Source organism: Homo sapiens, chromosome 20 (genome assembly GCF_000001405.40).
Source record: "Homo sapiens chromosome 20, GRCh38.p14 Primary Assembly".
In the NCBI taxonomy this organism is placed as follows: domain Eukaryota; kingdom Metazoa; phylum Chordata; class Mammalia; order Primates; family Hominidae; genus Homo; species Homo sapiens.
Window position 1 is genome coordinate 51804723 of NC_000020.11, and position 26661 is coordinate 51831383.

The 26661-nt window shown below is 46.5% G+C and overlaps 1 annotated feature.

Moving 5' to 3' along the window:
- Positions 6126-6998: an enhancer, noted in NCBI's record as "OCT4-NANOG-H3K27ac hESC enhancer chr20:50427387-50428259 (GRCh37/hg19 assembly coordinates)". NCBI's record gives its function as "activates a minimal SCP1, AML or CMV promoter by ChIP-STARR-seq in primed H9 embryonic stem cells {active_cell/tissue: H9 hESC(primed)}" and the evidence as "EXISTENCE:reporter gene assay evidence [ECO:0000049][PMID:30033119]".

Here is a 26661-nt window from a genome sequence, read left to right on the forward strand (position 1 = left end):
CTAGAAAAATCTTGGGTCTTCAGAAATCACTCCAACAGATGAAGTCAAGAAGTTTCCCTCAAATGGAAACCTTCCACAAATGTCATATCAAGAAAAGCAGGACACAGTACATGTTTTGAATCTACCCCCAGTTTAACAGCTGCAGCCAGGAGCCAGTTGGTGGAAAATAAAGTAAGTCCTAGAGCAAAGCAGGGGATGAACGGAGGGCATAGCAACAGGCAAGTCCGTAATCAAAAGTTGTTTCAGGCTGAGCACAGTGTCTCACGCCTGTAATCCCAGCACTCTGGGAGGCCAAGACTGGCGGGTCACCAGAGGTCAGGAGTTCGAGACTAGCCTGGCCAACACGGTAAAACTCCATCTCTACTAAAAATACAAAAATTAGCTGGTTGTGGTGGCGCATGCCTGTAATCCCAGCTACTCAGGAGCCTGACGGAGGAGAATCACTTGAATCCAGGAGGCGGTGGTTGCAGTGAGCCAAGATCTAGCTACTGCACTCCAACCTGGGCGACAGAGTGAGACTCTGTCTCATGAAAAAACAACAACAAAAAAGTTATTTATTAAACCAAAGGACCTGGTTGGGACCCAAGCTTGAAAAGAAAATGTTCAGAGTAAAGGATGATATTAAACTTTTTCATGTTAACGTCCTTTGTTAGGTGACTGGGTTTATATAATCCAGTCATTGTCAATGTTTATGTAATCCAGTCATGTTCAATGTTTGTGCCAGGCAGGAATATTCAAAAAATACACTTCTTGGTATATTTTTCAGCAGTCTTATTGTTTATAAGGAGATTTGGGATGCATAATCCCATTTTATCCTCACTAATATCCTTTTTTAATTCCTTTTTTTTTTTTTTTTTTTTTTTGAGACAGACCACTCTTGTCACCCAGGCTGGAATGCAGTGGCACGATCTCTGCTCATTGCAACCTCTGCCTGGGTTCAAGCGATTCTCCTGCCTCAGCCTCCTGAGTACCTGGGACTATAAGCACATGCCACCACACTCGGCTAATTTTTGTATTTTTAGTAGAGATGGGGTTTCACCATGTTCACCAGTTGTCTCCAACTCCTGACCTCAAGTGAGGCCCACCTCAGCCTCCCAAAGTGCTGGGATTACAGACGTGAGCCACCGTGTCCGGCTTATTTCTACTTCATTTATGGAAAAACAGAAGCTCATTGCTCCCATCAGCTCCTAGCGAGTACTAACGAATGCATGCCAAATTATGGATTCAGTAACTTTGCACAGGTCTCAGTGGAAGGCAGATCTTTCCCTGAAAACCCCACCTCTGCTCTTTTCTACAAGGAATCGTCTTCCTTTCCACTGCTTGCCTCTCTTCACCTGGCCCACTCCTAAAAAGCCTATAATCTCTTCAAATTTCCCTTCCTTAAACCAGCCTTCCCTCTTCCAAACTAGGTCTCATTTATTAGTTCTCTCAGGCTTCAAGAAACCATATCTTTCTTTTTATAGCGCACTTCAAAATATATAATGACAGACTTTCTCATGTATCTGTTTATTGCTTATTTCTCACACTGCAGGCTCCGTGAGGGTAGACACCGTCATCACGGTGTCCTTAGCACTTAGCCACAGTAATGGAACACAGAAGTCACAACAAATAAATAGCGATGGACTCAATCCATGCTGAGTAACTTTAGAGGCCTGAATATGAAATGAAGTGTTAAAGGCAATATAGTAGGTGGGAATGTAAAATGCTGCAGCCACTCTAGATGGCAGTTCCTCAACAAATGTAAAAAAGGATTACCATATGATCCAGCAATTCCACATGTGGGTATATATCCAAAAGAATTGAAAGCAGGGTCTCGAAGCAGTATTTATATACCCATGTTCACAGCAGAATTATTCACAATAGCCAAAAAGTGGAAACAACTCAAGTGTCCATGGACAGATGAATGAATAAAGTAAATGCAGTCTATCCATACAATGGAATATTACTCAGCCTTAAAAAGGAAGGAAATTCTGACACATGGTACCACATGGATGAATCTTTGTTTTCTTTTGGGTTTTTTTGTTGTTGTTTTTTGAGACAGAGTCTCGCTCTGTCACCCAGGAGTGCAGTGGTGCGATCTTGGCTCACTGCAAGCTCTGCCTCCCGGGTTCACGCCATTCTCCTGCCTCAGCCTCCCGAGTAGCTGGGACTACAGAAGCCCACCACCACGCCCGGCTAATTTTTTGTTTTTTTAGTAGAGATGGGGTTTCACCATGTTAGCCAGGATGGTCTTCATCTCCTCACCTTGTGATCCGCCCGCCTCGGCCTCCCAAAGTTCTGGGATTACAGGCGTGAGCCACCATGCCCAGCCAACATGGATGAAACTTGAAGACATTATGCCAAGTAAAATGAGCCAGTCACAGAAGGACAAATAGAGTAGTCAAATTCATAGAGACAAAAAGTAGAATGGTGGTTGCCAGGGGCTGGAGGGAGGGAGAGTGGGGGGTGGAGGGGCCGTTTCTGCTCAATAGGCATGAAGTTCCAGTTTTGCAAGATGAAAAGGGATCTAGATAAATGTTTAGATTTTAGCTGCTTTGCCACAAAAACAAACAAAATCAGGTAACAATGCAAGACGGATAGGTTCATTTGCTTCACTGGTAATCTTTTTACTATCTATATAAATCCCATAACATCATGTAGTATGCCTTAAATATACACAATAATTTTTTTTTTTAAAAGATCTGGACTGGGCACGGTGGCTCACGCCTGTAATCCCAGCACTTTGGGAGGCCAAGGCAGGCGGATCATGAGTTCGGGAGTTCGAGACCACCCTGACCAACATGGTGAAACCCCATCTCTACTAAAAGTACAAAAATTAAATGGGCGTGGTGGTGGGCACCTGCAATCCCAGCTACTTGGGAGGCTGAGGCAGGAGAATCACTTGAACCTGGGAGGCGGAGGTTGCCCAGATGGTGCCACTGCACTACAGCTTGGGAGACAAAGCGAGACTCCAACTCGAAAGAAAAAAAAAAAAAGAAAAAAGAAAGAGAGAGATCTGGAAATTGGTTGCTCAACAATGTCAATGTACTCAACATTTCAAAACAGCACACTTAAAGATGGGTCAGACAGTAAATCTTATGTTAAGTGTATTTTAACACAGTTGCAGAGAAAAAAAGGCAATTACAAACTAGATTATCACGATGGCTGCATACTGTATGGATTTACTAAAAATAATTCAACTGTACACTCACAGTGAGTGAGTTTCATGATATGTAAAGCATATGTACATGAAATGGTTTTTAGGAAGACAATTACATACTTGGCTATCCCTGTCATTGAAAGGACCACAGTTATGTGTGTGTTTTTTTCTGTGTGGGATTCCCAGCATCTTAAGCTCGAAATGACTAAAGTAGCGAGGTTGAGTCCCATAAATCATGATCTGCCACTGCAAAAGTATTGCCCCTTTGGACCTCTGTTTATTCATGCCAGGAAGCAAAGTCGACTGACTTGGTAACCACAGCTGCTTCAATTTGGGAAATGTAAGGGTTGGATTTGGGAAGTATCTTAACATGGACCAACGTCTTAGAGTCTATGGACTTTTATGTATCATAGTACATTTGATATCTGCCTACCCCAAATGGAAGGCTTGATGTCTGGAAGGCACTCTTCAAATTCTAGAGATTTAGAAGTTAAGCTAAAATTGCCTCCAAAATCATGCTTGTAATTCAATGGGACTGTTTTATTATGGGGCCAAATGTCCACTTTTCTGAGTGTCCTGGCCCAGAGCCCTTCTGCTGGGACGATTTATGTTCGCAAAGTTGGCTAATTGCAATAATCACCACTTAACTGATGATATTTCCCCCATTTTAATATCTCTCTGCTTGTTGCCATTTCATCAATTCCAAATTGGTATTGAACAATTTCTAGCTCCAATTAGTCTTCTTAGTTGCAGCTGATGTATTGAAGCCTACAACTGTGTATTCAAAAAAAAAAAAAAAAGGTAAAAATATTCCAGGCCAGACACCGTGGCTCATACCTGTATTCTAGCACTTTAGGAGGCTGAGACCAGAGGACTGCTTGAGCCCAGCCCAGGAGTTTGAGAGCAGCCTGGACAACATAGGGAGTCCCCATCTCTACAGAAAATAAACCACAAAAAAATTAGCCAGGCATGGTGGCACGCACCTATAGTCCCAGCTACTCTGGAGGCTGAGGTGGGAGATCACCTGAGCCTGGAGAAGTCGAGGCTGCGGTGAGCTGTTATCGTGCCACTGCATTCCAGCCTGGGTGACGGAGCGAGACCCTGTTTCAGAAAAACAAAACAAAACAAACAAATAAATTAATCAGGCATGGTGGTGTGTACCTGTAGTTCCAGCTACTCAGGAGACTGAGGTGGAAGGATTGATTGAGCCCAGGAGTTTGAGGCTGCAGCGAGCCTTGTTCATGCCACTGCACTCCAGCCTGGGCAACAGAGTGAGAGTCAGTCTTAAAAAACAAACAAACAAAAAAGGGCCTGGCACAATGGCTCACGCCTGTAATCCCAACACTTTGGGAGGTCGAGGCCAGCAGATCACGAGGTCAGAAGTTCGAGACAGCCTGGCCAACATGGTAAAACCCTGTCTCTACTAAAAATACAAAAATTAGCCAGACGTGGTGGTTTGCGCCTGTAATCCCAGCTACTCAGAAGGCTGAGGCAGGAGAATTGCTTGAACCCAGGAGGCAGAGGTTGCAATGAGCCGAGATCGCGCAACAGCACTCCAGCCTGGGACAGAGTAAGACTCTGTCTCAAAGAAACAAAAAAATTCTGTCTGGGCGTGGTGGCTCACACCTGTAATCCCAATATTTGGGAGGCCGAGGTGGGTGGGGCATCTGAGGTCAGGAGTTCGAGACCAGCCTGGCCAACATGGTGAAACCCTGTCTCTACTTAACAAAAAAAAAATTAGCAGGCATGGTAGCGGGCGCCTGTAATCCCAGCTACTTGGGAGGCTGAGGCAGGAGAATCACTTGAACCCGGGAGGCGGCGGTTGCAGTAAGCCAAGATCATGCCATTGCACTCCAGCCTGGACGACAAGAGCGAAACTCCGTCTCCAAAAAAAAAAAAAAAAAAAAAAAAAATTTCCAACAAGCTTATTAAAGCAAGAGTGAATTGTCAGAAATGATACTTTCTTCTGTAAGTTTGCTGGTTAAAGACTAAATGGATTAAGAATAAAAGATTTGGCCGGGCATGGTGGCTCACTCCTGTAATCCCAGCACTTTGGGAGGCCGAGGTGGGTGGATCACGAGGTCAGGAGATCGAGACCATCCTGGCTAACACGGTGAAACCCTGTCTCTACTAAAAATACAAAAATTAGCCGGGCTTGGTGGCGGGCCCCTGTAGTCCCAGCTACTCGGGAGGCTGAGGCAGGAGAATCGTTTGAACCTGGGAGGCGGAGCTTGCAGTGAGCCGAGATCGTGCCACTGCACTCCAGCCTGGGTGACAGAGCGAGACTCCGTCTCAAAAAAAATAAATAAATAAAATAGTTTGTGTGACTAGCTTTTTTTACTCCTCAGTCGCTTGAAACTCATGCTAGTCCAAGCATGCAGTCTTTCGGTCAATCTCAGGCACACACATACAGTCGAGAATGTTGGTTCTCTAAGTCCACAGCAGCAGTTCTTAATGGGAACAATGTGCCTTTTCCCCCACCAGGGGACATTTGGCAATGTCTAGAGACATTTTCGGTTGTCACTACTGTCTAGTAGGTAGAGGCCCGGGGTCATGCTTAAGATCCTACAATGCCCAGGATAACCTCCACAACAAAGGAATAGCTGACCCAAAAGGTCAACGGTGCCAGAGATGAGAAACGAGGCTTACAGGTAATATGATTTCAAGGCTATATTAGCACCTAACTAATACCATTAAAAAAAAAAATAGTAAAGTCCTTTCTAAAAAGTATTAAGTCACAATCAAATCCTCTTATCTTCTCCAGGGGAGGCTTCTTAACCTTCCCAACTAAATCAAACTTCAGCATTTCGACCCTTTCCCTCAAAGATTGCACAATTACCGTCTTATATTCACTCATGTGATGATTTGAGTAATTTATCTACTTCTCCGCCTGCAGATTAGAGAAAGATAACATTTTGGAATTCTGTTTATTTCACTGAATGGGCTATCATAAGATTCTCCTGCCGCATTGAAAGAAATCTTTGTAAATGTGTTTTGTTATTTTTTCACTCTGTGGATGAACCTTTAATTCACTTAACCAACCCCTGTTGAGTATTTGAGATCTTTGTCTTTACTTTAGTAACATTTCAGGGAACGTCTTTGCTCATAGACGGCTCTGTCCAAATTTTGGATTTCTTGCCTTAAGGCCTACCATCTTGAGTCTTTCTGAAGTGAATGTTGAAATGAATTTCACAGATTCACAGCCCTTTGAGAGCTTTTTTCAAATACTATCTTACTCCTTTTGTAGGCTCTTGTGCAAGACCAGGGCCTCAGTAACATGAGTGATCAAGCTAAATGGGTCATCTCATAAACATGCTTATCGGGACACTCACATATTGCGTAACTGGACAGCAGAAATGTATAGATTTTCAAAAACAAGTCAAAGGTTCAATTGATTGAACATTTTTTTTTCTGCTAGAAATGCTTTCCTTTTCATTTCCTTTTTACATAAGTCTGATTCACTCTTTACTTAAATATTTCTGTACTGGCGTCCAAAACCCTTCTTAAAAGTTTTCTCTTGCCTTAAAAGAAAATTTTTTTTTGTTATCTACCAGGCACAAATCCAACCCCTTAGTCCCCTAAAAAGTGCCTATTGTAAACTCTATGTTTAAAAACTATTACTGAGAAGGCGCTTCTTCAAATTCGCTGCAAACTTTATTATAACAAAGCTTAAAGAGCTAAAAGCGCGGCACAATGGAAAGTTGACTGTTATAAATATCTATCCGGCTTTGCAATATAAATTATAATTAAAAATAAACTTGTCAGAGAACTCTAGGCAACACACAAAAAGTGAGACGTTTAGAACGAGGCAATTAAGAATGTTAATTGGAACACAGAGAAAAGCAAAGGACAGTCATTGTTAAGATAACTGCTCTATAAACACCTAAATGGATTCTGTGAAGGGGAAGAAAGGATCATCTTTTGACCATGAAAGGGAATATAAAATGTTCTTTTCTTTGTTTTAATGTGTGGAGAGATTTTAAACTTCTTTTCTCGCTCAGACGCTCAAGTAAACAAATGACTTGGCCCTAGTCTGGTGTGGGTAACTAAAGAGAGAAATGGAGGGAAAGAGAGAAAAGCCAACTGGGTAGGCGAGAAGAGAAGAGAGCAAATGCTGAAGAAGAAGAAAAACAAAGGAGGATGATAAATGTAGAGGAATAAAGGGAAAAACCAAAACAGAAGGCATAAACCCCTAGGAAACAGAACAAGAGTTAAACACAGAGAATAAGAAAGGAGTCATCTCCCTTTCTTCACTCTCCAAATGATCTGCAAGTTAATTTCTTAAAGACAGCAGAGTCGACAAGCACAGTCAGACAGACCCAGATGTAGATCTTGCTTCTTGGCAGTTTCCATCTGGGCTGGATAATTTCCTCCAGGTTCTCAACCTCTCTATGCCTTGATTTCTTCCCTAGTCAATGGGGAGGGTAATCGCTGCTTGTGGCTTCGCTGCAAAAATCAGAAATGATTTGTGTGAAGCCCCTGGCATATAATTAGTGTTTAGGAAACATCTATTACCACATGAATTATTTCAGGGTACAGCAGGAATGTTTAAGCTTTCTCATAATATTAAGCAGACGCACAACATACATGATAGTTTTGGAGTCGGAGTTATTTAATTTACATGGTCATTTATTTGATCATTCATTCATTCAAGGAGTAATAATTTTGTCTGCTATGCACAGGGCCTTGAGCTCACCCAGTGCTGGGAATTTAGACATGAAAAACCTTAAGTAGTTCAGCCTAAAATGTCTAAAAGTTTAATGTCAAAATTGTTGGCTTTTGCAAAAATGTTAGCCTGTGGGCCAATGGTGGTCTATGGTACATTGACTCTGCCTAGAATATGGCTAGGATGGGATGGAAACACGAAAGACATGATTTAGAACATATTCTTTTCCAGAATAAGCATTCCGTGACAGAAGGGGCCATATTCATCTCATTCACCGTTGCATAAACAAATTGCATTGCATAAGCAAATATCTTTAATGAACAGCATCTAGGAGCACGTGCTTTGAAGACAAAGCAAGGTAAAAGGACAGAGGCCATCAGTGGATGCTTTTCTTGTAGGGTGATCAGGAAAGGCTTCACTGAAAAGGAGACAAGTGGCCGAGACATGAAGGAGGTGAGGGAGAAAGTCATATAGATCTGTGGGAATTGCATTCCAGACAGAGGCAACAGACAATGCAAAGGCCTTGAGGCAGGAACGTGCTTGGCGTGTTTGAGGAACCAGAAAAAGGCCAGTGGGGCTGGGGTGGAGTGAGTGAGGAGTAATAGGGGCAGAGGACATATGACCTTAGAGATCATGGCTCTAGATACTTTGTTTTCCTATTTTTTTTATTGTGGTTAAATATCCATAATATGAAATTTATTTATGTATTTATTTTTCTGAGATGCAGTTTTGCTCTGTCGCCCAGGCTGGAGTGCAGTGGCATGATCTCAGCTCACTGCAACCTCCGCCTCCCAGGTTCAAGCGATTTTCCTGTCTCAGATTCCCCAGTAGCTGGGATTATAGGCGTGTGCCACCACACTCAGCCAATTTTTATAGTTTTAGTAGAGACGGGGTTTCACCATGTTGGCTGGTCTGGTCTTGAACTCCCGATCTCAGGTGATCCGCCTGCCTCGGCCTCCCAAAGTGCTGGGATTACAGGCGTGAGCCACCGCATTTCCACTTATTTTAAATGTCATCTCGTAGTGGCAGCTTACCAAATAGAGATCCATATAACTGCTCGAAAATTTTAAGGCTTAAGAAATACTCAAAAGGAGTGATTAGTAGTAGAATGCTTAATAAATTCTTAATTGTCAGGCTGGGCATGGTGGCTCACGCCTGTAATCCCAGCACTTTGGGAGGCCGAGGCAGGTGGATCACCTGAGGTCAGGAGTTTGAGACCAGCCTGGCCAACATGGCGAAACCCTGTCTCTATTAAAAATACAAAAATTAGCCGGGCATGGTGGCACACACCTGTAAGCCCAGCTTACTCAGGAGGCTGAGACATGAGAATTGCTTGAGCCTGGGAGATGGAGGTTGCAGCGAGCTGAGATAATGCCATTGCACTCCAGCCTCGGTGACAGAGCGAGACTCTGTCTCAAAAATAATAATGATAATAAAAAATAAATTCTTGTTTGTTTGTTTGTTTTGTTTTGTTTTGTTTGAGACGGAGTCTCACTCTGTCACCCAGACTGGAGTACAATGGCGTCTTCTCAGCTCACTGCAGCCTCCACCTCCCAGGTTCAAGCGATTCTCCCGCCTCCACCTCCCAAGTAGCCGGGACTATACGCGCGTGCCAACACACCCGGCTAATTTTTGTATTTTTAGTAGAGATGGAGTTTCGCTATGTTGGCCAGGCTGATCTCGAACTCCTGACCTTGTGATCCGCCCACCTCGGCCTCCCAAAGTGCTGGGATTACAGGCATGAGCCACCGCGCCCGGCCAATAAATAAATTCTTAATTGTCCTGCAGCAAAAATGTCTAAGGGAACCAAGCATGGTGGCACATGCCTGTAGTACCAGCTACTGGGGAGGGTGAGGTAGGAGGATCACTTGAGCCCAGGAGTTGAAAGATGTATACCCCACAATCGTGCCTGTGAATAGCCACAGTGACCCAGCCTGGGCAACATAGTGAGACCTGGATCTCTAAAATCAAAAAACGTAAGAGTTGAAATATTTAGATAGGTTTCATCTTAATATGTCTGCCAAGTCAATTAGCGATAGGACAGCCCTCCCCACCCCGGTTTTTTTGTTTTGTTTTGTTTTTAAGAATTTTGCTAGGGCTGGGCACAGTGGCTCACACCTGTAATCCCAGCACTTTGGGAGGCTGAGGCAGGTGTATCACGAGGTCAGGAGATTGAGGCCATCCTGGCTAACACGGTGAAACCCCTTCTCTACTAAAAACACAAAAAATTAACTGGGTGTGGTGGCACGCGCCTGTAGTCCCAGCTACTCAGGAGGTTGAGGCAGGATAACCGCTTGAACCTGGGAGGCAGAGGTTGCAGTGAGCCAAGACTGCGCCACTGTACTTCAGCCTGGGCGACAGAGGGAGACTCTGTCTCAGAAAAAAAAAAAAAAAAGAACTTTGCTTTTTTTTTTTTTTTTTTTTTTTTGGTGACATGAAAGGCTGTCAGAGTGTTTTGAGCAGGGGAATGACAGGATTTTCCTAGGTTTTAGGAGAACTCTGAGGGAGGTTATAGACCCAAGTAGGTGGGGGATAGGATGGATGTGGGGAGAGCAGTGAGGACGCTCTTGCAGTAGTCCAGGAATGAGAAAATGGAGCTTGGACCAAGGTGGAAGTGGCAGGGGTGGGAGAGATAAAACAGAGATGTGGGGAATTCATTGTGATCATGTGGCTGATAGAACTTGCAAACTGATCGGATGCAGGTATAAGACACAGGGGTCAAGGATGACGCCTAGATTTTCAGCCTGAGCATCCAAAAGGTTGCAGGTACCAGGTAGAGAAATAGGGAAGGCTGTGGGAGACGTAGATTTGGCAGAGGGGGTGCTTCAGAACTCGTTTGGAACATGTTAGGTTTGATTTGCCAATTAGACATTCAAGTGGAAAAGTTAGATCAACAGTTGGAGACACCAGTCTAAAGTTCAGAGGCAAGGACCAGCAGGCTGTTGACATCAGTATGAGATGGTTTTTGAAGCCGAGAAACTGGCTGAGATCATCTAGGCAGTGAATGGAGATAGGGAAGAGAAAAGAGCAAGGATGAGGCCTGGGGAACTCCTGGGTTTACAGGAGGGAAGTTGAGGAGAAAAATACATAGGTGCAGAGAAAGAGCAGCCAGTGAATCAGGATGACAGAGAGAGCAGTCCAGGAAGCCAAGAGAGGAACGTGCTTCACAGGGAGGCAGGGACTCACTGTCCAAACATGACACTGATGTGTCAAGGCAGACAAGCATTGGAACTGAGTGTTGGGTTTGGCAACACAGAGACAACTAGTCATTAAGAAGATGCCTGGGGATACCTAGGGGCAACAGCTGATTGGAGAGGGTTGGGGAAGGATGAGAGGAGATGGCGAACTCTTTAGGGTCAATTCTTTTAAAACTGTCTCATGGTGAGTGGGGAGTGGGGAGCATCAGGGTGAATATGAGTGTGAGGGAGATAACATAGCAAGTGCTGGATGACGTTGGAAGGATCCGAGGGAAGAGGAAATGTTGATGATGCAGGAGAGAAAGGGAACAATTACAGAGTACAGATGCTCCTTGACTTCTGATGGGTTTACGTCCCGATAAACCCACTGTAAGTTGAAAATATAATAAACTGAAAATGCATTTAGAGGCCTAGGCGGGTGGATCACTTGAGGCCAGGAGTTTGAGACCAGCCTGGCCAACATGGCAAAACTCCGTCTCTACTAAAAATACAAAAATTAGTCAGGCTTGGCCAGGCTCAATGGCTCACGCCTGTAATCCCAGCACTTTGGGAGGCCCAGGCAGGTGGATCACGAGGTCAGGAGTTCAAGACCAGCCTGGATAACATGGTGAAACCCCGTCTCTACTAAAAATACAAAAATTAGCTGGACGTGGTGGTGGTCACCTGTAATCCCAGCTACTTGGGAGGCTGAGGCAGGAGAATTGTTTGAACCCAGGAGGCAGAGCTTGCAGTGAGCCGAGATTGTGCCACTGTACTCCAGCCTGGGCAACAAGAAAGAGCGAGACTCCGTCTCAAAAAAAAAAAAATAGTCAGGCTTGGTAGCGCACACCTGTGATCCCAGCTACTTTGGAGGCTGAGGGACGAGAATTGCTTGAACCTGGGAGACAGAGGTTGGTGTGAGCTGAGATCACGCCACTGCACTCCAGCCTGAGTGACAGAGAGAGACTGTCTTAAAAAAAATGCATTGAATACACCTAACCTACCAAACATTACAGTTTAGCGTACCTTCAACATGCTCAAAACACTTACATTAGTCCACAGTTGGGCAAAGTCATCTAACACAAAGCCTATTTTATAATAAAATGTTAAATAGCTCATGTAATTTATTGAATACTGTACTAAACTGAAAAGCAAAATGGTTGTGAGTACTTGAAGTACAGTTTCTACTGAATGTACTAATTGCCCTTGTACCACTGTAAAATTGAAAAATCTTAAATTGAACCATTGTAAGTTGGTTCATCTGTAGTGATCTCAGGAAAGTAGGAAAGAGCTGGGCATGGTGGCTGCTCATGCCTGTAGTCACAGCAACTCGGGGGGCCGAGGCAGGGAGATCCCTTGAGCCCAGGAATTCGAGACCAGCCTGGGCAACATAAGGTGACTGTGTCTCAATTTATTTTATTATTATTTTTTTGAGACAGAGTCTCACTCTGTCACCTAGGCTCGAGTGCAATGGCGCAATCTCGGCTCACTGCAACCTCTGCCCCCCGGGTTCAAGCAATTCTTCTGCCTCAGCCTCGCCAGTAGCCAGGATTATAGGCGTGCACCACCACACCCAGCTAATTTTTTATTTATTTATTTTGTTTTTTGAGACAGAGTCTCACTCTGTCACCTAGGCTCGAGTGCAATGGCGCAATCTCGGCTCACTGCAACCTCTGCCTCCCAGGTTCACGCCATTCTCCTGCCTCAGCCTCCCGAGTAACTGGAACTACAGGCGCCCGCCACCATGCCCGGCTAATTTTTTTGTATTTTTAGTAGAGACGGGGTTTCACCATGTTAGCCAGGATGGTCTTGATCTCCTGACCTCATGATTCACCCACCTCAGCCTCCCAAATTGCTGGGATTACAGGCATGAGCCACCGCGCCTGGCCTTTTTTTTTTTTTTTTTTTTTTTTTTTTTTGAGACGGAGTCTCACTCTGCTGCTCAGGCTGGAGTACAGTGGCGGGATCTCGGCTCACTGCAACCTCCACCTTCCCGGGTTCATGCCATTCTCCTGCCTCAGCCTCCCGAGTAGCTTGGACTACAGGCACCCGCCACCACGCCTGGCTAATTTTTTTGTATTTTTAGTAGAGACGAGGTTTCACTGTGTTAGCCAGGACGGTCTTGGTCTCCTGACCTCATGATCTGCCCGCCTCAGCCTCCCAAAGTGCTGAGATTACAAGCGTGAGCCACCACGCCCGGCCCACACCCAGCTAATTTTTATATTTTTTGCAGAGATGAGGTTTCACCATGTTGGCCAGGCTGGTCTCGAACTCCTGACCTTAAGTGATTTGTTCACCTTGGCCTTCCAAAGTGCTAGAATTACAGGCACGAGTCACCGCACCTAGCCTATTTTATTTTACTTTATTTTAGTTTTCAGACAGAGTCTTACTCTATTGCCCAGGCTGGACTGCAGTGGCGCATATCAGCTCACTGAAACCTCTGCCTCCCGGGTGCAAGTGATTCTCCTGCCTCAGCCTCCTGAGTAGCTGGGATTACAGGCACGTGCCACCAAGCCTGGCTACTTTTTTTGTAGTTTTTGGTACAGACGCGGTTTGTCCAGGCTGGTCTTTAACTCTTGGCCTCAAGTGATCCGCCCACCTTGGCCTCCCAAAGTGCTGGGATTATAGGCATGAGCCTTTTATATTTTATTTAAAAATTTTTAAAAATTCTTTAAAAAAGGAAGAGATGGAGTGCTGGCCTATGACATGGTAACATAGTTCATCCGCTGCAATAGCAGGGAAGGCAGAATAGTTGGGTGCAGTTCAAGGCAGGTAGGTTAATTTAGCTTGGGAATGTGTGGGAGTTCACTACTGATTGCCTCTATTGTGTCTATTACATTAGTGAAATTAGAAACAAGAGTAAGGAAGGGAAGAGGATGCTGAGTGTTAGAAGAGAGAAAGAAAGGGGTAAAAGTCTTCCAGGAGAGAAAGAGAAAGAATGAAGGAGGGAAATGTAGTGGGGTGGCTGGGTCCATGTGGGCGCTCATGCATTTCTTTCTTTCTTTCTTTTCTTTTCTTCTTTCTTTCTTCCTTTCTTCTTTTTCTTTCTTCTTTCTTTTCTTTCTTTCTTCTTTCTTTTCTTTCTTCTTTCTTTTCTTTTTCTTTTCTCTTCCTTCCTTCCTTCTTTCCTTCCTTCCTTCCCTCCTTCTTCTCTCTCCTTCCCTCCTTCTTTCCTTTGTTCCTTCTTTCCTTCCTTCTCTCCCTCCCTCTTTTCTTTTCTTTTCTTCTTTTCTTTTCTTTCTTTTCTTTTTCTTGAGATGGAGTTTCACTCTCATTGCCCAGACTGGAGTGCAATGGCATGATCTCGGCTCACTGCAACCTCTGCCTGCCGGGTTCAAGCGATTCTCCTGCCTCAGCCTCCCGAGTAGCTGGGATTACAAGCCTGTGCCACCACGCCCAGCTAATTTTGTTTTTTTGTTTTTTTTTTTTGAGACAGAGTCTCTCTCTCTGTTGCCCAGGTTGCAGTGCAGTGGTGCCATCTCGGCTCACTGCAAGCTCCGCCTCCTGGGTTCACACCATTCTCCTGCCTCAGCTAATTTTGTATTTTCAGTAGAGACGGGGTTTCACCATGTTGGTCAGGCTGGTCTTGAAGTCCTGTCCTTGGGTAATCTGCCCACCTTGACCTCCCAAAGTGCTGGAATTACAGGCGTGAGTGGACGCCCGGCCTATTTCTTCATTTTTCTTAAAATTATATATATATATATATATATATATATATATATATATATATATATTTAAATAGATATTTATATATTTTTTTTTTCAGAGGGATTTGCTCTGTTGCTCAGGTTGGAGTGGTGCGATCATGGCTCACGGCAGCCTCCACCTCCCAGGCTCAAGCAATCCTCCATCCTTAGCCTCCTGAGTAGCTGGGACTACAGGTGCACAACACCACACCTGGCTAATTTTTTTATTTTTTGTAGAGACAGGGTCTCGCTATGTTGCTCAGGCTGGTCTTGAACTCCTGGCCTCAAGTGGTCCTCTTGCCAAAGTCCTGGGATGACAGGCATGAGGTTCGGCACCTGGCTATGGTCATGCATTTGAAGGGAAACCAGTTAGCTGTGGTAGTGCTTTTTTTTTTCCCTCAGACATTTTCAGTGGTACCTGTCCAAGTGCAGAATGGACTAAGAGTTGGATTGAAAAGGAATGGGGTTTAGCCAAGCAAGTACAACAGAGAATAAAAGAACAGGGGCACTGAGGCTGAATGTGGGGGATTACAATGATGGACCCTAGACTCAAGGCCTGGTAAGAGAGGCAGAGCAGGAAGAAGTGAAGAGGAGTAAAACAGGTTTGTGAGCATGGAGGTTGGGGGAAAATCAAGCGATTGTTGGACTTGGGGTCCCAAAGGGACAAAGCCAGAAAGATTTTAGGGGATAGTCGGAGGAAAAGATGCTTGAAATTGAGATGGTGGAGCCGATGTCGTGGCTGGAAAGGATGAGGGTATGGAGCACCTGCTCAGGTGGGGTGGATGACAGGAGCCTCATGGAGAGGAGGACAAGGAGCTGAGCAGCTGAGGTATCAAAGGGTCATCTTACCAAATACTGAAAATGTCAAGAAGTATTGTAGGTGAGCAAGACAGTCGGGTGACAGTGTCTTTAGGAACTGAGGAGTAGGCTCTCGGGTCTGCAGAAGAGGCAATGAGGAGGGGGCATAGACAAGAACAGGTGAGTCTGAGCTTCTGAGTCTCAGCTGAATGCTTTGGGGAGGAAGAATGGATAATTGAGGCCTCAAGAGGCAAGAAACTCACTTAGCCCAACTCCAGTCAGTGCACCAGGGTGACAGAGGGAAACAGAGCCCCTGGAGAGAGCTGGGGGAGAAGCAGTGTCCCCAGGGGAGAACCAAGGGCCAATTAGGGCAAGAACATTCCAAAAAAAAAGTGAGGATAAAGGAGACTTTGCCATGACGAACCAGAAGACACTGAGGAAGTGTTGGGGGTCGGTGACAGGGCTGAGGATTGGGTCAGATAAGAAACAGGTTTATGGGCCGGGCGCGGTGGCTCACGCCGGTAATCCCAGCACTTTGGGAGGCCGAGGTGGGTGGATCACAAGGTCAGGAGTTCAAGACCAGCCTGGCCAACATGGTGAAACCCCGTCTCTACTAAAAATACAAAAATTAGCTGGGCGTGGTGGTGCGCTCCTGTAATCCCAGCTACTCGGGAGGCTGTGGCAGGAGAATCACTTGAACCCGAGAGGCAGAGGTAGCAGTGAGCCAAGATCACGCCACTGTACTCCAGCCTGGATCCAGCCCAGGCTACAGAGCGAGACTCTGTCTCCAAAAAAAAAAAAAAAAAAAGAAGGGCTTTATAGAATTGGTCACGTAGGACCAGACGCTGTCCGAACCACTTTGCTTGTATCTAATCGTTTACCCCATGGGATAATTACTATTATTAACAGATGCATTTTCCAGATGAGAACTTTGAGGTATAGAAAGTAATGACCAAGATTCAGCTATAGAACTAGGCCACCGCCTCAGGACCATACTGGGTGTCAGCCCCTGAGCCAAATCCAGCCCACCACTTGTCTTTGTATGACCTTCGAGCTAACAGTGGGCTTTAGAGATGAACATTTCAATCTATTTGATGATGAACATTTACTTTGAATCCCAGTTAACCAACATGTCATCCCCTCTAAAAGAATTCCATTCTTCTCATTAGTAGACCTATATTAGGAGAAAATTAAATTGTTATTATATTTTGAATTTCATCAATTGCAAATTTGTGAAAATTTGTTTTCTCACTTGTGTACCTACATCATATTCTTGATTGTGCCTCTTGGTCTGTAAAACCTAAAATCTTCCCTTTCCTTCCTTCCTTCCTTCTTTCCTTCCTCTCCTTCTTTCCTTTTCTCCTTTCTCTCTTTCTCTCTTTCTTTCTTTCTTTCTTACTTTCTTTTTTGAGATAGGGTGTCACTCCATCACTCAGGCTGGAGCGCAGTGGCACAAACATGGTTCTGCAGTCTCAACCTCCTGGGCTTAAGCGGTTCTCCTACCTCAGCCTACCATGTAGTGAGACTATAGGCACACTACCGTGCGTGGCTAATTTTTTTTTGTTGTTTTTTTAGACGGAGTCTCGCTCTGTTGCCCAGGATGCAGTGTAGTGGCACGATCTTGGCTCACTGCAACCTCTGCCTCCCAGGTTCAAACGATTCTCCTGCCTCAGCTTCCTGAGTAGCTGGGACTACAGGCACCCACCTCTACGCCTGGCTAATTTTTGTATTTTTAGTAGAGACGGGGTTTCACGATATTGGCCAGGCTGGTTGCAAACTCCTGACCTCAGGTGATCTGCCCGCCTCTGCCTCCCAAAGTGCTGGGATTACAGGTGTGAGCCACTGTGCCTGGCCTAATTTTTTATTTTTATTTTTTTGAGGCAGAGTCTCACTCTGTTGCCCAGGCTGGAATGCAGTGGTGCCATCTTGGCTCACTAGAACCTCCTCCTCCTCCCAGGTTTAAGCCTGATTCTCCTGCCTCAGCCACCCAAGTAGCTGGGATTACAGGTGCACACCACCATGCCAGGCTAATTTTTGTAGTTTTAATAGAGACGGGGTCTCACCATGTTGACCAGGCTGTTCTCAAACTCCTGACCTCAAGTGATCTGTCCACCTTGGCCTCCCAAAGTGCTGGGATTACAGGTGTGAGTCACTGAGCCTGGCCTAATTTTTCTTTTCTCTTTTTTTTTTTTTTTTTTTTGAGACGGAGTCTCGCTCTGTCGCCCAGGCTGGAGTGCAGTGGCACAATCTCGGCTCACTGCAAGCTCCGCCTCCCGGGTTCACGCCATTCTCCTGTCTCAGCCTCCCAAGTAGCTGGGACTACAGGCACCCGCCACCATGCCTGGCTAATTTTTTGTATTTTTTAGTAGAGACGGGGTTTCACCGTGTTAGCGAGGATGTTCTCAATCTCCTGACCTCGTGATCTGCCCACCTCAGCCTCCCAAAGTACTGGGATTACAGGAGTGAGCCACCGCGCCCAGCCTGGCCTAATTTTTCTGTAGAGACAATGTCTTATCATGTTGCCAAAGCTGAACTCCTGGGCTCAAGCCATCCTCCCGCCCTGGCCTGCCAAAGTGTTGGTATTACAGGCATGAGCCACCATGCCCGGCCCCTAAAATATTTCTGTCTGTTCCTTTACAGAAAGAGTGTGCCAACCTCCGTATTATATTCACATATCTCTCGGTGGAGGAAATGCTCAATAAATGTCCGATATTATTGTTGATATTATTATCATCATTGACACCTAATTCACAGGACTTCAAAACAAGCTAGCTATGATTCCAGCCCTGCGCTGTCACGCAAAAGATATTAAACAAATGTTGGCTAGGCACAGTGGCTCACACCTATAATCCTAGCAGTCTGGGAGGCTGAAGAGGGTGGATCACCTGAGGTCAGGAGTTCGAGACCAGCCTGGCCAACATGACGAAACCACGTCTCTACTAAAAATACACAAATTAGCCAGGCGTGGTGGCGCATGCCTGTAATCCCAGCTACTCGGGAGGCTGAGGCAGGAGAATCGCTTGAACCCAGGAGGCAGAGGTTGCAGTGAGCTGAGATCGTGCCACTGCACTCCACCCTCGGCGAAAGAGTGAAACTCCATCTCAAAATAAATAAATAAATAACAAAAAACAAAGGTTAGCTATTGAATGAATGAGTGAGTGAGTGAATGAATGAGTGGGTAGGTGAAGTGGAGGAGGATGTGAAGTTGGTGGGAGTGAGGGTGCTAGAAATCTCCACATCTTTCACCAAGGCAGAGAGCTTATCGGGGGAGGAGGAGCAGAAGCAGTGAGTTCATTTCCAGAAATGTTGCTGGAGGTGAGTTGACTAGCTCCACATAAACCCTGGGAATGATCACTGAAGCTGGGTAATTTCACCATTGTCCTCAGTATCTGACCCCCGATGGAAAATTCCACAGCTTCACTAAAAGACCTGTATACCTCTGGAATATTTTTATAGGGAACATAAAAGAAATGAATGTGGGATTTGGGGGACTGGGGAGAAGATTCTGAGGAGCTGGTCCTCTGAGAAGAGTTAATCAGGCAAGTCCAGTAATTATCTGGTTCCAACTACATTTGAAACACTGTGCTGGGTCCCTTATGTAATTGTCCTTCCAACTCTGAGAAGTAATTTTATCATTCCCTTTTCACATATGCAGAAATTGGGATTGAAAGAAGCTGTGCTCCATCCCAGGGCATTGCCTCCTCCAGCACTGGGTCTAGGCTTTGCATCAACCTGTCTACTGCCGGTTGGCCATTTGTGTCTTCATGCTACCCACAGGGCCCTCGAGGCTCTACCTCTGAGATTCAGCAAAGGAGGTCCTGCCTCATGGAGCTCACAGTCCAGGGAGAAAGACAGACAATAAACAAGCAAACAATACACAAATAAAATAGGCCAGGCATGGTGGCCCACACCTGTAATCCCAGCACTTTGGAAGGCTGAGACGGGTGGATCACTTGAGGTCAGGAGTTCGAGACCAACCATGGCCAACGTGGCAAAACCCTATCTCTACTAATAATACAAAAAATTAGATGGGACTGGTAGTGAGTGTCTGTAATCCCAGCTACTGGGAGGCAGGAGAATAGCTTGAATCCAGGAGGCAGAAGTTGCAGTGAGCCAAAATTGTGCCATTGCAGTCCAGCATGGATGACAGAGCAAGACTATGTCTCTAAAAATAAAATAAAATAATAAAAAAATTGGCTGGGCACAGTGGCTCACACCTGTAGCACTTTGGGTGGCCGAAGCAGGCAGATCACCTGATGTCAGGAGTTTGAGACCAGCCTGGCCAGCTTGGTAAAACCCCAACTCTGCTAAAAATACAAAAATTAGCCGGGCATGGTGACACGCACCTGTAATCTCAGCTACTGGGGAGGCTGAGGCATGAGAATCGCTTGAACCTGGGAGGCAGAAGTTGCAGTGAGCCGCAATCACACCATTGCATGATCAACTGTCTAGCACTGAGCAACAGGGCTAGACTCCATCTCAGAAAAAAAATAAAATAAAATAAGAAATGCAAAATTGTTACAGGAGTTGTAAGGGAATAACAAGATAATAGAATTAGGGAGAGACTGCAGGTGGAGGCCAGATGAGATGTTCATGGGTGCCCCCTTGGAGCAGAGACCTGTAGAGCTACAGGAAGGATGTTCTAGAAAACACCAAGGGCCCTGAGGTAGGAAGGAGCTTTGAGGCATCAAAAATGAAGCTACTGTCCTTGGTGTACAGCCAAGAAAAAAAAGGTGGGAGAAGTTGAGGTTAGGGGTGGGTGGGACCAGATCACAGGGGCCTTGTAGGCCCTGCCTGTGATTTGAATTTCATTCTAAGTGATGGGGGCTTTAAGCTGGGGAGGGAGGTGACCTGATTCACCCTGGAAAAGAGTGCCCTAGATGCTTGTGGAGAAGAAAATGAAGAGGGCAAGATGGAAGGCAACCTCGAGACAGACCTCAAGGATGCCATTCCCTGCCTCACCCCCATCGCTCCCCAGAAGCTTGGGTGAAACCACCTTCCATCTGGTCCTTCCAGTTCCTACCTCTCTAATTGAGAGGGAGCCTAGCAAGTTGGGGTAGGGCCTGCTATATAATTAGTTAGGCCCAGTGCAAAATGAAAATAAGGACTCCAAGCCGGGCGTGGTGGCTCGCACCTGTAATCCCAGCACTTCGGGAGGCCGAGGAGGGTGGATCACAAGGTCAGGAGATCGAGACCATCCTGGCTAACACGGTGAAACCCCGTCTCTACTAAAAATACAAAATATTAGCCAGGCGTGGTGGCGGGCGCCTGTAGTCCCAGCTACTTGGGAGGCTGAGGCAGGAGGATGGCGGGAACCTGGGAGGCGGAGCTTGCAGTGAGCCAAGATCGCGCCACTGCACTCCAGCCTAGGCGAAAGAGCAAGACTCAGTCTCAAAAAAAAAAAAAAAAAAAAAAAAGAAATGCAAGATGCTAACAGCAGAGTGTTCAGCCAAGCATGATGCCCTTCTGAGCACAGACCCCATGAAGTTGACAGTGGGGAGAAGACTTTGGACCCAATGGTTAGGGAGGCTGCTCTGAGAAGGTGACACCTGACCTCCTTCAGAGATCATGGCCTTCTTGGGCCTGGTGCGGTGGCTTACACCTGTAAGCACTTTGGGAGGCCCAGGCAGGAGGATCACCGGAGGCCAGGAGTTCAAGACAAGTCTGGGCAATATAGTGAAACCCTTGTCTCTATCACCGTGCCCAGCCTACAAAAAAATTTTTAAAAATATTAACTGGGTATGGTGGCGCATGCTTGTAGTCCCAGCTTCTCGGGAATCTGCGGTGGGAGGATCCATTGACTTCAGGAGTTCAAGGCTGTGATCTCACTGCTGCGCTCCAGCCTGGGTGACAGAGCCAGCCCCTTGTCTTTAAAAAAAAAAAAAAAACAGGCTGGTTGCGGTGGCTCACGCCTGTAATCCCAGCACTTTGGGAGGCCAAGGTGGGTGGATCAACTGAGGTCAGGAGTTCGAGATCAGCGTGGCCAACATAGTGAAACCCCATCTCTACTAACAATACAAAAAATTATCTGAGCGTGGTGGTGGGTGCCTATAATCCTAGCTACTTGGGAGGCTGAGGCAGGAGAAACTCTGGAACCTGGGAGGCGGAGGTTGCAGTGATCCGAGATCGCACCACTGCACTCCAGCCTGGGAGACAGAGTGAGACTCCATCTCAAACAAACAAAAACACAGAGAGAGAGAGAGAGAGAGAGATTATGACTGTCTTGGTACCAGCAGATGTTGCTTTGTAATCACCAAGTGGGGAGAGGGGGTGGCAGCCTGTCTTACACACCTGGACCACATTGCCCAACAACACTGCTCCACCCAGTCCGTAAAACCTCCCTCGGTGGCTATCTTCACCTAACATAGACACCTATTCAAAGCATCTGATGAGGTCATGTGCGTGCTACCACTTGGGAAAACGAAACTAAGAGCACTATAGGAACAATGATGAATATCATCATCATCATCATATTTACAAAATGCTTGCATATCACACCTGTAATCCCAGCACTTTGGGAGGCTGAGGCGGCGAATCACCTGAGGTCGGGAGTTCGAGACCAGCCTGACCAACATGGAGAAACCCCTTGTCTATTAAAAATACAAAATTAGCCAGGCATGGTGGCAGGCACCTGTAATCCTAGCTACTTGGGAGGCTGAGGCAGGAGAATCGCTTAAACCCAGGAGGTGGAGGTTGTGGTGAGCTGAGATCACGCCATTTTGCACTCCAGCCTGGGCAACAAGAGCAAAACTCTGTCTCAAAAAAAAAAAAAAAATGCTTGTGTAAGTATTTATTATGTTAATACAAAATATTTATCATCAAAAAATAAACAATACATTTGATTGAACCATCTTGTATCATCCTTCTTCTTAGTGGAAGACATTGCATAGACACTGTATCTCTTATATTTCTCCTGATAATACTACAAGATTGATCCTTGTCCAACAGATATTTCCTGAACACCTACTATGTGCTGCAAGTACTGAGATCCACAGTGCAATCCGGCAGCCAGGGAGCACCCCCGATCACAGACACTGTGGCCCCGCAATGGATGGGCGCTTCCATTGCTGGAGCTCACTTTTCCTGCTCTGTAAGTACTGAGATCCACAGTGCAATCCGGCAGCCAGGGAGCACCCCCGATCACGGACACTGTGGCCCCGCAGTGGACGGGCGCTTCCGTCGCTGGAGCTCACTTTTCCTGCTCTATTGTTGTCATAGAAGAAAGTTCCATACCCAACATCACATTCTCTACTTATTTGTTTGTCTCTCTTTTCCTCTAGAACTGCAGGAGCTGGGAATTTGAACTGTTTCTCTCACTTCTGGATCCCAGCATTTAGAACAGGGCTCCACTCACAGCAGCCACTATTGCTGAAGAAGCAAATCCCGCGGGATTGCTTGAGGTCATTGGACTTCACAAGAGATGTCTGGGGTGGAGACAGGACTTGGGAAGATGCTGGTTCATGGATGGTGTGGGGGCTGCAGGAGGAGATGCCTGGGGAGAGAGTATCTAGTAAGAAGTGACAATGTTGGTTGGGCACGATGGCTCATGCTTGCAATCCTAGCACTCTGGGAGGCCAAGGTGAGAGGATCACCTGAGGTTAGGAGTTTGAGACCAGCCTGGCCAACATGGTATAACCCCGTCTCTACTAAAAGTACAAAAATTAGCCAGGCGTGGTGGTGGGCGCCTGTAATCCCAGCTACTTGGGAGGCTGAGGCAGGAGAATTGCTTGAACCTGGGAGGCGGAGGTTGCAGTGAGCCGAGATCATGCCACTGCACTCCAGCCTGGGCGACAAAGTGAAACTCCATCACAAAAAAAAAAAAAAAAAAAAAAGAAGTGACAATGTCCTTGGGTCTGCCTTGGTGCCGCAGGGGAGTGTGGTCATAGGTCGAAGACAGAGAAAGAGCCATTAAGAAATGGGAGTAGGCTGGGCGCAGTGGCTCATACCTGTAATCCCAGCACTTTGGGAGGCTGAGGTGGGTGGATCACCTGAGGTCAGGAGTTTGAGATCAGCCTGACCAATATGGTGAAACTCTGTCTCTACTAAACATACACAAAATTAGCTGGGCATGGTGGCGCATGCCTATAATCCCAGCTACTCAGGAGGCTGAGGCAGGAGAATCACTTGAACCCAGGAGGCAGAGGTTGCAGTGAGCTGAGATGGCGCCATTGCACTCCAGCCTGGGGGACAGAGCAAGACTCCGTCTCAAAAAAAAAAAGAAATGGGAGTAGCCCAAAGGGGTGAGTGATGGTTACCTGAGGGCTCTCTCTGGAAAGCAGGACTTATCCACACTCCTTAGTATCTTGATGCTGCTGAGAGATCAACGTCAGGGCTGGGAAAAGGGCTGTTGGATTTGAGAGAAGGGATGAGAGTCATGAAGCACACTGGGGGGCCGCTTCCAGGGACAGGAGACATCAATGGAGGGGAAATGAGAAATAAGTGGACCTGCACCTTTTGCTAAGGGAGGCTGTTAAGGGAGGAGAGAGACCGGGCAGTTGCTAGACGGATGGTGGCCAAGGGAGGGTTTTGTTTTTGTTTTAAAGATGGGAGAGATTATAAGTGCTGAAGGGAAGGATGTAATTCAAAAGGAAAGCTTGCATATTCATGGGGGATCAGGAGTAAGGAAGGTTCTGAGGTGGCAGGCAGGGCTAGGAGGCGGCGGGATTGGTTTTTGGAGGGACATCCGTTAACAGGAGGAGAGAAGCTGGGGACCAGGAGCAAAGCCCAAGGCCTTCCCAGGCCCTGGAAACCCTCCGTGCTGGGCCGGTCCCCTGCTGCTTCTCTGGTTTCACTTCCTTTCTCAGCCCTGTTCCCACTTCTGCTCTGGCCCCCTGGCTCCCTGGCTTTTCCCTGAGTCCTCCCACCAGGCTCCTGCCTTTGCCTCACTTTCCTCTCTCCCTAGGATATTTTTGCTGCAGAGATCCACGTGGCTCAGTCCCTCGCTTTATCTGGGTCTCTGCTCTCCTGTCCATTTTTCAGAGCTCTTCCCTGACTACCACATAGGTAACGGTATCCTCCTATTACCTTCCATTCAGACCCTCTCCTTTACCATAGGGCCTTTGCACCTGCTATTCTCCCTGCCTGAAATACTGTGCCTTGCCTGATTATTATTATTATTATTATTATTTTGAGACAGAGTCTCACTCTGTCACCCAGGCTGGAGTGCAATAGCACGATCTCAGCTCACTGCAACCTCCACCTGCTGGGTTCAAGTGAGCAAGCATGGCTAATTTTTGTATTTTTAGTAGAGATGGGGTTTCACCATGTTGGCCAGGCTGGTCTCGAACTCCTGACCTCAAGTAATCAACCTGCTTCAGCCTCCCAAAGTGCTGGGATTACAGACATCTGCCACCACACCCCCGGCCCCTGATTTTTTGTTTGTTTTTTTGAGACAGACTCTCCTTCTGCTGTCTAGGCTGGAGTACAGTGGAGCGATCTTAGCTCACTGCAACCTCTGCCTCCCGGGTTCAAGTGATTCTCCTGCCTCAGTCTCCTAAGTAGTTGAGATTACAGGTGTCCGCCACCATGCCTGGCTAATTTTTGTATTTTTAGTAGAGACAGGGTTTCACCATGTTGGACATGGCTGGTCTTGAACTCCTGACCACAGGTGAGCTGCCTGCCTTGGCCTCCGAAAGTTCTGGGATTACAGGCATAAGCCACTGCGCCTGGCCTGATTTTTTTTTTTTTTTTTTTTTTTTTTTTTTTGTAGAGATGGGGTCTTGCTTTGTTGCGTAGGCTGGTCTCGAACTCCTGGGCTGAAGCTATCCTCCCGCCTCAGCCTCCCAAAATGCTGGGATTACGGGAATGAGTCACCAAGACTGGCCCCTTCCCTGATCTTGTTAATGACTCAATCTTCACCCCTAGCTCAGGCATCTGTCTTCAGTCTTGTCTCTTCTTTCTCCCCAACTAGGTCAGGTTCCCTCACACAGGACCCTTGGAGAGCTGGGCACTTCTCCAATAGCATTTGTTGAAGTTACTATTTTTTATCTGTGAGATTGGCTAAGACCTCTTTCTTGCTCCAGACTACAGGTACCATCCAAGCAGAGGCCACATCCATCTTACCCAAATGTGTATTTTCAGTGCCTGCTGGAGTGCCAGGCACCCAGCGGGTACCCAGAACTTAGGGTGTTGGGTGTACTCATGGATCAGAACTTCATTTCAGCCCGAGCTGTAGACCTGAAGACTGAGGCTCAAGATATTCCATCATCAGATATCGAGGGTCGGAGGGTAAAAAAAAGAAAAAGAGCCAGGCGCAGTGGCTCCCGCCTGTAGTCCCGGCACTTTGGGAGGCCGAGGCAGGCAGATCACTTGAGGTCAGGAGTTCCAGACCAGCCTGGACAACACTGTGAAACCCCGTCTTTCCCGAAAATACAGAAAAGTCCCAGCTACTCAAGTGGCTGAGGCAGGATAATTGCTTGAACCTGGGAGGTGGAGGTTGCAGTGAGCCGAGATTGTGCCACTGCACTCCAGTCTGGGTGACAGAGTGAGACTCTGTCACGAAAGAAAGAGAGAAAGAAAAAGAGAGAGAGAGAGAGAGCAAGAGAGAGAGCAAGAGAGAGAGAGCAAGAGAGCAAGAGAGAGAGAGCAAGAGAGAGAGAGAGAGATCATCGATACTCATTTATCAAATACTCAAACCCGTATCTGTCTACACATGCTATTGACCTAAACTATACTTTTCAAGAATATTCTTCGCTGCCAAGGCTGGAGTGTAGAGGCATGATCTCATCTCACTGTAACCTCTGCCTCCTGAGTTCAAGCGATTCTCCTGCCTCACCTCCCTAGTAGCTGGGACTACAGGCCTGCACTGCCACACCCAGATAATTTTTGTATTTTTGGTAGAGATGGAGTTTTGTCATGTTGGTCAGGCTGGTCTCAAACTCCTGACCTTAGGTGATCTGCCCGCCTTGGCCTCCCAAAGTGCTGGGATTACAGGCATGAGCCACTGCGCCTGGCTTCAAGAATATTGTTCATTTACAGAGGCATAGAGGTTAAGAGTACCCTCTGAAATTACACAGCCTGGAATTGACTGCTAGCTCTCCCCTCTGCAATCTTTCTGGCACCAGTCATGTTGGTTCAGCTCCCTCTGGGCCTCACTTACCCATCTGTAGAATGGGGATAATAACACCTGCATTGTACATCTATTAGGAGGATGAATGTGATTATCACATGTAAAAGGCTAGAGCCATGCTTGACACA